We start from the raw sequence: 9,549 nt of genomic DNA, 5'->3' as shown, positions 1-9,549 counted from the left end.
GGGATTTCACCATGTTGGCCAGGCTGGTCTAGAACTCCTGGCCTCAGGTGACCTGCCCGCCTTGGCCTCCCAAAGTGCTGGGATTACAGGTGTGAGCCACTGTGCATGGCCGGAAATACCATTTAAAATGCTACCCAGGTGGTGGGATTGGAGTGAAAAAAGCCAATCAGACCCGGAGGCGGGAGAGCAAAGTGGAGTGGCACCAGGAAAGGCTGTGAGCCCAGGCCAGGGCGGGGCAGCTGGCTGTAAAAGGAGCAGTGCCCCATCCACTGCTGCACCCATGCCCAGCGAGGTGCTTGGTGCAAGTCAGGCACACTGTACAAGGCTGTCAAATTCATTCTTCTTTCTCATCAGTAAATTTAGGGACTAGAACCAAAAGAAGTGCTGTGGAGGGCAACTACCTTTGTAGGGTTCACTCATTCACATTGTGCCCAGGTCTCCTCAAGATGAGACCTGCTCCCTCTCAGGTATAACAGAGGATCCATCTAATTTCTCCACATGGGTGCCATGGTAAATTTTGCTGTGGCCCTAAAACTGAATTGAGAATACAAGCCTCCCCTGGTGGGTCCCAGGAGGGGCGGGGGGGTGTGTGTGTACGCGAGCACACATGTGCATGTATGTGTGTGCCTGTGTGTCTGTGTGTCTGTGTGCATGTGTGCCTGTGTGCATGTGTGCCTGTGTGCGTGTGTGTGTGCGCGTGTGTGTGCGTATGTGTACATGTGTGTCTGTGCATGTCTGTGTGCATGTGTATGCATGCATGTGTGTATGTGTGCGTGTGTATATGTGTGTGCATGTGTGTATGGGAGTGCATGTGTGTATGTGTGTGCATGTGTGTATGTGTATGTGTGTGCATATGTATGTGTGTATATGTGTGTGTGCATGTGTGTGTGTATGTGTGTCTGCGTGTGTGCGTGTGTGTATGTGTCTGTGTGTGCATATATGTGTGTGTGCACATGCACGCTTGGGGTCAGCCACGCTCTCCCATGCCCATGCAAACAAAGTTGGCTTTCCCTGCAAGGTCGGTGACAGCCCAGCCTCCCCTTCACAGGTTGGAGCAAGGCATTAATCTTCTTGACATGGCAGCAGTGGGGGAGGGGGATTTGGGGTGGAAATCCCTCAAACAGGGGGATCCCATGAGCAGAGAGGTCCTTGTCTCATCTGGCTGTATGAATAGGCTTTAGTTTACAAACCCAGGGCATAAAGTCAGGTTGGCTTCAAGAAGATCAAGTAGCATTATAGAAAGTATCTCTCTTTTCATTATGTTCATTTTTGGGGAAGTGGGGCAGGCAGAGGCAGATGGGACTCTGTGCCCATTGAAGAACTTGGGAGTGTATTCTGGGAACAGGCACCCATCTTCTCTGCAAGAGGTGGCGGAGTGGGAGGGTGCGGGAGCCCATGCTGGAGAGAGGGCAGGCCTGGAGAAGTCTAAACTTGCAAACAGAACATGATTTATACAGCCAAAATCTTTCACAAACTACTGGCAAGTTGGTGGGGCCTCCACCCCTCTCTTAGGAAGTCCTCCTTTGTCTGATGTTCCTACCTATGTTACTTGTCTCTGTTAACCTGGGCTCTGTGGTTACAGGTTGGGACTGATTGAGAAAAGCCAGGATCCAGAGGCCAGACAGACCCACAAGTTGCCCTCATTTGAGAACTCTTCTCTGACTACCCCCTGCACCCCAGATTAGGTCCCATTTATCTGGAAAGAGAACTGTAGGATTGGGGTGAAAAGAATTACTATAATGCCCAGACACATCAGTTAGGGACTTAGGACAAAGAGGTAAACAGTTGCTGGGCATGGTGGCTCAAACCTGTAATCTCAGTGCTTTGGGGGGCCAAGGTAGGAACATCATTTGAGTCCCAGAGTTGGAGTTGCCACCCTGGGCAACATGGTGAGACCTCGTCCCTACAAAAACCTTAAAAATTAGCTGGGCTTGTTGGTGTGCACCTGTAGTCCTAGCTACTCAGGAGGCTGAGGTGGGAGAATCACTTGAGTCCAGGAGTCCCAGGAGGTCGAGGCTCCAGTGAGCTATGATCATTCCACTGCACTCCAGTCTGGGCAACAGAGGAGATCTTGTCTCTTAAAAAAAAAGAAAGAAAAAAGAGAAAAAGAGGCAAGCAGTTGTCACATACTGTGCTGGGACCCTTGTCCTGGCTGTAGCCATTGCCCCATAGGGAACACCCAGCAACCTTTTCTTTGACAAGCCAGATGTAACCCATCTTAGGTTCTGCCTTTTTCTGAAACTTCCAGCCAAGTCCAGCTATGCTTCAGACCCACACAACTTAATGCCTACTCTTTCCCCAATTGTTCCCCTCAAGATATTCCAGCTCTCAAGGACTTTAGGCTCTCTTTGGGGAGCTGGAATTGTCTTAGACTCCTCCTTCAGGTCTCAAGCTAAATGTCACGTCTTCAGGGAGGCCATCCCTGATCTAAGCCCTCTAGGCGTAATCATGCTGTTTGACTTCTTTCCCGCTTTCTTAGAAATTCTTGTTTCCGTGTTTCTGTGTTTATGTGTTTTTTCTTGTCTGACTCTATTGGAAAGTGAATGCCGAGAGAGAGCACACTTGCCCACCTTGCTCTCTGCTGCTGCCCCAGTGCCTGAAACGGCATCTGCCACATGGTAGACCCTCAAAAATATGTGTTGAATGAAGCAAATGAATGAATGAAGTCTCTTTTGCCCTAGCATGAAAACCAACGCACATGAGTGAATGGGTTAGCGAAGTAGCCACAGGAAAACACTTTAGTTGTGCTGCTTTTAGGCTGTGTTTGGAGGAGGACAGTGAGAAGGGCAAAGGATGGAGCACTGGAGAGAGGGGCTGTGGGTAGACCCAGGACCAGGACTTGGGTTTCTTGACTCCATCCTCTGGGTGACCTTAGGCAGGTGCATCAGTCTCCTTCTGGTTGGATGACACAATCTCTGGTCACTTCTAGTCTTTCCTTCTGTGGCTCACTAGATCTGCAGCTGAGAGCGCCGAGACTGTCTCCCTGGGTGGGATGCTCTGGCTGGGCCGGACCTGGCTTGGCAGCAGTGCCTGAGCAGCACAGAGGTGCTCTGCTTAGCTCGGGGGCTGCCTGGCTCTCTATGGAGCCTCTGGGGCAGGATCGTTAGCGAGGAGAGGAAAGAGGAACAAAGGGGAACCTTCCCAATTATTAATAAGGCAGCAACCCCATCCATCTTAATGAGACAGGGCGGAAAAAACCAGTGGCCAGGCATCGCACACACAATAGGCTACGATAGAGACCTTGCTTTCTTTTTAAAGAGGGGGAATGAAAGACAGACAGAAAGGGAGGAGACTTGGAGAGTGGAAAGCAGTTCCCAAACGTCCTCTGTGCCCCTCATGCAAAGAGTCAGCCTGCTATGTGGCCACAGCTGTTTAAAAAATGCAGAGGGCACCGTGGTCCTTTGCTGGGCCAGGGGATGGGATGGGGTGGGGTGGGGCGACTTTCCTGGCAAAGAGTGGTTGAGCGACACCCATCCTAACAAGAGCCTTTGTTTCCTGGGCATGGGGTGGTCCAGTGGGACTGTGAAGAGCTCCCGCCTGGTGACGCAGGACCTGGTACGCTCAAAAAGCCCTGTCATCCTTTCGATCCAGCATCTCCCCTCCTCCACCCACCCCACCACTGCTACCATGTCCCATCAAAGGTCTTCTGAGTCCTGGCACTCGGTTTTTCTATTTCTTAGCCTTTGGGCAAATTGCTTAATGTCTTACCTTCGGTTTCTTTAGAACTGACTTCCCTGACAGACTTGCTGAGAAGATGACATTGTGCCAGTGTGTGTATAAACCGTGCCCGGGCATCTGACACAAAGCAGACACTCAACAAATCTTAATCATCAGAATCGGATCTTGCTTCCACTTGAGGACAGCCCAGTGAGGTCTCCTCCAGGAGCTGGGGCTATCTTGAGAATGGATCTGTCTCTGTCTGCTTTGATTCCCTGGGGCCCAGCACTTAGGAGCTGAATGAGTGACTAAAAGGCTGGAAATGCAATAATTTTGTTAAGACAGCATGTTCTGCAAGGGTTGGCTGTCTCTGGGAGGTGGGGCATTGTGCTTCCTTTTGGGGAATGTTGCACCCTCCCTACAACTGTAGGTTCCCCTGCTGCTGGGCTCAGCTGGGAGCTCGGGGGCCATGCTACTGTACTTCTGGTTAATATTCTCCTGCTCCCTGGGAAGTGTGGAGGGAGAGAGATGGGAAGCACCACGCATGGTTGGAGGGCTCCTCATCAGAACCCCAGGAGATGGGCTGCACAGAGATTCACTGGTGTAAAGACCTGAAGCACACAGGTGGGGCTGCAAAGAAGGAAAGACACTGGTCTCTTCTGGCCATCTCTGCTTAGGCTGACGTTTCCTGGGGATGGTGCTGATGGGGACATCAAAAGGATTTTGACACAGGGGAAGAGGAAGGAAGAGGAGCTAGAAGCAGAACCACAGGGCCTGGGATGGGACAGAGAAGTCTCTGTGGAACTAGGCTCAACACTCGCATGCTGATGCCCTCCTGGTGAGCTGAGGCTGCATTCGACTTGGAGCCAGGACTCCTGCTCCCAGTTGCTGCACTTCTGCCCTGAGCCTTGTTAGCTTTGCAGAAAATCCAGCCCTGCTGGATCCTGCCTCATGTCCCCACACACTTCCCGATGTCTGAACCACCCAGCTCTCTGTCTCTCCTCTCTTATCAGGTGACACGCAGCTTGACCAACATTTCCTGAGAACAAACACCTCTAGGCATCTCCAGGGAGGAGGTCGGGTGCTCTCTGCAGCACCCAAGGCAGCCCTCCACCTCCCTCCTGTCCTGGGACAGCGTCCAGTCCAAACGGGAAAGGTGTGTCTTGTGTGGCAAGTTATTGCAGGATGAATTCCTGCAGGCTGGAAGGAGCAGCTGCCAAGCACTCTCCCAGAATGACAGGTATATGACCTTCCAAGCTCTCCTCCCGGCCTGGCTGCCTCAGGCAGTGCTTGTTCTATGCTCAGGAGGGCCAGGAGGGTGGAGGAGCCCAGAGAGCCAGCTGGGAGGAGGTCTGGAGGCCTGGTGTCCACCTGTGACTTGCTGTAAGACCTGGGGCAGGCTGTTCAACCTCTCTATGCCAGTTTCAGCCCTCCTATGCATCCCTGTCCAGAGGTAGGGCAGGTGGAAAAGGCTCTGATTCTCTTCTCTTTGGTGGGGCACGTGGTTCAATGAATAGATGCTCAGGGGGTGTGTGCAGGAGGCCCAGGGAAAGCTGACTGTGATGGTGAGAGGAAGATGGAGCATAGAGGAGGGCGTGTGTATGAGCCAGCTGGTGAGAGCGAGGGAGAGCACGAGAGGACACGCTCTGAGCACAGAACCTTGCACATAGTAGGAGCTCATTAAACATTTGCTGATTGATTGTTGGCCTGAAAGTTCTCACTCCCTTGTTGGTGTCTGTGTGGTCTGGAAGAAAGATAGAGAATATGACTCCACATGCATCACAAGCTGGACAATGGGGGCAATTATCCAGAAAATGTGAGCCATCCTGCACCCCCCACCCCAAGTCTTTTGCAATCATTACCTGACACATCAGATGAAGTAGGATTTTTAAGAACGTGCGTCACAGAGGTTAACACCAGAGACACACATTTTTTCTTCCACCCAAGAGAATACTGATGCTGTTCTATGTATCTATCTCTTTTTCTTTAAAATTAATAATCTTTATTTCTTTGCAAAGGTGATATATGGTCATTGTGAAAATTTCTGAAAATGAAGAAAAGCAGAAAGAAGACAGTGTAAAGCACCTATAATCTCAAAACCCAGAGGTGGCTAACATTTCAGTGTACCTATTTCCAGGATTTTTAGCTTTTTTTCTTCTTTCCTTCCTTCCCTTCTTCCCTCCTTTCTCTTTCTTATCCTTCTGTTCTGTCTGCAAAATTGGATTCATACTATATATTTCTATCCCATATTCTCCATAAACATTCCCTCCTCTCTCTCTCCCCTCCCCTCCCCTCCCCCTCCCTCCCTCCCTCCCTTCCTTCCTTCCTTCCTTCCTTCCAAAAGCCTTTATTTTTTGAATGCTTAGCAATGTACTATGAGACACATAGGAAGCATGGTCTGACTTTTCTTTTTACATAAAACATCAAAGTTACAAAGGACATGAGCCTATCTAGCCCAATCCCTTCACATGTTTAGGACCTGTGACTCAGAGAGGAGAAGAGATTGTGGAAGGCCACTGAGGCTAGAAAACCAGACTCCTAGCCCAGTGCTCTTTCCCTGATTGCAGGTGCCTCACATAGGTTGACATGAGCATCTTTCCCTTCCAGCAGCCAAGTTGGTTTTTCCTAAGTGAACCTCCAAATAATAAAGACTGTTCTGTAGTCAACCACTGCACCAAGGCTCTCTTGTATTGAAAACGAAGAGTGTGCTTCCCGTTTTCAGTGGCAGCTTCACCCCCACGCCCCGGGACAGATGGCCTGAGTGGCTGGTGTCAGCTTCAGGCCCTTTCCTGGGCACTGGGATGCTCTGGTTGCTGGTCCTGGGAAGTAGCCCAGTGCCCCAGTGCCGACCAGCCAGCCCCTCTTGAAGCCCTGAATATGGACTTTGTCTGGTGGGCTCCACTCTGCTCCCAATGGACGGAAGCCAGTCATTTGGCAAAAATTAGCTCAGTTGCCACCATTGTTCTTAAAGAGGCAGGGCTGAATGGCTCTGGGGACTAATGTATTCTATTATGCCCTTTGGGCTGGCCCCTGAGTGTGGGCAGAGGTCTGCATTCCATAGACCACTGCGACCCCCGGCCCTGCCCCCGCCGCCCCACCAAGCCCTCTGCTCTCCAGCCCCACCGGTCCCCACCCCAGAGGGGAGAAGAGTTCCTGAAGCCAGCCATGGGAAGGCACCCCATCTGGCACCCGATGTGGATGGGAGAGGAGTTGAGGGTGACCAAGAGTCTGGGGAGAGGGCCAGCAGTGGAAATGGGGCATGAGGACCACAGTGACGAGGGCAGCCTGGAGGCTAGGGGAAGGCCAGAGGTGGTCGGTGACTTCTCTGTGACGGGGACCGCTGCCCCTGCCTCCTGCATTGATTGTGCCACATATGTCTGCAGCTCCTTCTCCTCTGCAGCCCCTTCCTGGCAGGAACAGTCTCCTCCAGAGGACGGAGAGTCATGGGGCTTGTTTTGAGCAGCCTGCAGATCTCTCATTCTAGGGTCAGTGATGCCCGAACCTTGAGAAATATGATGTGTGAGAGATAAGTGGGAGAGCGGCTTGCAGACAGAGAGGCTGCATGCAGGCATTCATTATCAGTGCCCTTTTAAGTAGGGAGCAGGGGTTTGTGTGAGTCTCTGGGTCCCTACTTCTCGCTCCTGTGTTTTGCAAAGCGAGGGCTGCATCCAGGACTGCCCTTCACCTTAGAGAGGCTGAAGGTGAGGAAGGAGGGAAGGCAGGGTGTAGCTGTCCTGGCTCAGGTGTCTTTTCTAACAAGACAGAGGTTTGCAAGTATGACTGCCCTGGTCACAGGCTGCATGAGCTCATTCTTCAGAGTGCTCTCTCCTTTCTTGGGTGTTAGGGCTGCCTGGCTCCACCGCTTATTGATTACAAGTGTGCTTCCTCTCATTAACAACCCCCACCCAGACTTGGGGAGAAATATCAGAAGGCTCAAAGCCTGCTTGTTCAGAATAGTTTGTGGGACATGAACAAAAATGATAGAGGTGGGTGAGGGGGGAGAAAAGGAGAGAGGAAGAGAGAGAGGGAGAGAGAGAGGAAGAGAGAAGGAGGTAAGAGGGAGGGGGAGAGAAGGAGATGGGGGAGAGAGGGAGAGAGAGAAAGAGAGGGAGGTGGGGGAGAGAGGAAGAGAGGGAGGTAGGGAAAAGAAGGAGGGAAAGAATGAGGGAGAGAAGGAGAGGGGGGTAGAAAGGGAGAGAACAAGGAGGGAGAGGAAGAGAAAGAAGGAGAGAGAAGCGGGGGGGGGAAGAGAGAGGGAGGGAGGAAAGAGAGGGAGGAAGAGAAAGTGAGAGGGAGAGAGAGTGAGCGCTGTCACCCACTCTGTCCTGTGGGGTATGGGCAACATACTCCACAGAGGGATTGAGGTGGGGTCCTAGTGGGTTGGTTCTGGGGCCATGTCCATCTCATGTCTGTTGGTTTCTCTGGGTTGCCAGACAAAGTGTGGGCAGATAGATCTACTAAGAAGAAGCATGCTGTCCTGACTGGCTGTGACATCCCCTCAGTCCAAACTCTTCCCACCTCCACTCTCCCCAGCCATGGGCTCTGTTATCTTCCCTGCTATCCTTTATGTTATCTTTCCTTCCCACCTTTGTGCTTCTTGGGGTTGGGAATCTATCTTTGATGTTCTCTTTTCCTCACGTGACCCAGCACAGAACCTGCACACAGCAGTTGATTGATAGACACCTGTTGATTCATTGACTTCTGGAACTGGGAGAACACAGCTCAGACAGTGCCTGCCACCGGCCAAGGCTGTGTCAGCAGCAGAGAGAGGATGCAATTAAACTCCAATCTGAAATCCCCATTAATTGTGAAGAGTCGATTTCCTTGGGGTGGGGACGGAAATAAAACCAAAAAGAATCTGGATGAGTTAAAATGTGCAGGATGTAGAGCATTTCATCTTCCAGAAAGAATATTTTATTCTCCTGTCAAGAGGCCAATGATAATGGCAATAAAAGAAAACATAAGTGATGGTGGTAAGGATTATGCAGCAATTTAGGAAGCAGCCGGTTATATATATTTATGGACCTAAATGGCTGGAAAACCCTTCACACCAGAGGACTTAATGCAGAACTTGGAAAGCACTCCAAGGCTAAGTGGATCTCCATGGGAAGTTGTTATTTATGGACCTTCCTACCGTGTATTAAGCAATTCAGTGGCCTAGACTGCTGTTAAAAAATAAAGAACAAATGGGTTCGATGGACAAATTGTGCTTTTCTGGGTGGGGGAGCCATGGCTGTCTTATAATGCTGTGTTAGAAGAATTTGATAAAAGGCAATGTTTTTATAGGGACAGATATTAAATATGATTGAATGGGAAACTGCTGGAAGATTACAGAAGCCTCCAGATACACAGCTGCTGGTGCCACCACGTGTGGGGAAGAAAGCAAAGTCTGTTCTGCTGCTGCCGTCAGCCTCTGAGGGGCCAAGAGGCAGCGTTTCCTCACTGCCTGCACTTTTACTTTGTGACCTGCCCCCACCCTCCTGGCGCCTGTGTCCTTAAGAGAGTTGCTTTGTCCACTCTTTCTGCCTGAGAACTTTATTTCATTTGATTGTCTCAATGCTCTGTCCTTGGGGCATCTGAGGAACCTCTTTGTGACTTGGTCTCCTCTTCTGAAAAGTGGGGGCTCATAGGACCCTTCCAGTGGGAGGCTAAACAGAGGGCTACAGAGCGATGCAGGTTCATGGGTGAGACAGAACACAAATAGGGACAACAGAAAAAAGGGTGCTCCACAGCCATAGGAATCGGAACAGGAGGAAGATGTGCAAACTTCCAGGTTCATGGAGGAGTTTCTGAAGATGGGGTTTCTCAGTCTTAAACAGGCATCGGATTCACCTAGGAGTCTTGTTAAAATGCAAACACTAATTGTTATGCCTGGGGTGGGCGGCGGGTGGG

The 9,549-nt window shown here is 50.9% G+C and overlaps 1 annotated feature.

Moving 5' to 3' along the window:
* Window positions 5,943-6,684: an enhancer, noted in NCBI's record as "H3K4me1 hESC enhancer chr8:41179229-41179970 (GRCh37/hg19 assembly coordinates)". NCBI's record gives its function as "activates a minimal SCP1, AML or CMV promoter by ChIP-STARR-seq in primed H9 embryonic stem cells {active_cell/tissue: H9 hESC(primed)}" and the evidence as "EXISTENCE:reporter gene assay evidence [ECO:0000049][PMID:30033119]".

The sequence above is a fragment of the Homo sapiens genome, chromosome 8 (genome assembly GCF_000001405.40).
Source record: "Homo sapiens chromosome 8, GRCh38.p14 Primary Assembly".
NCBI classification, from domain to species: domain Eukaryota; kingdom Metazoa; phylum Chordata; class Mammalia; order Primates; family Hominidae; genus Homo; species Homo sapiens.
This window is presented reverse-complemented; position numbering and strand designations above follow the sequence as displayed.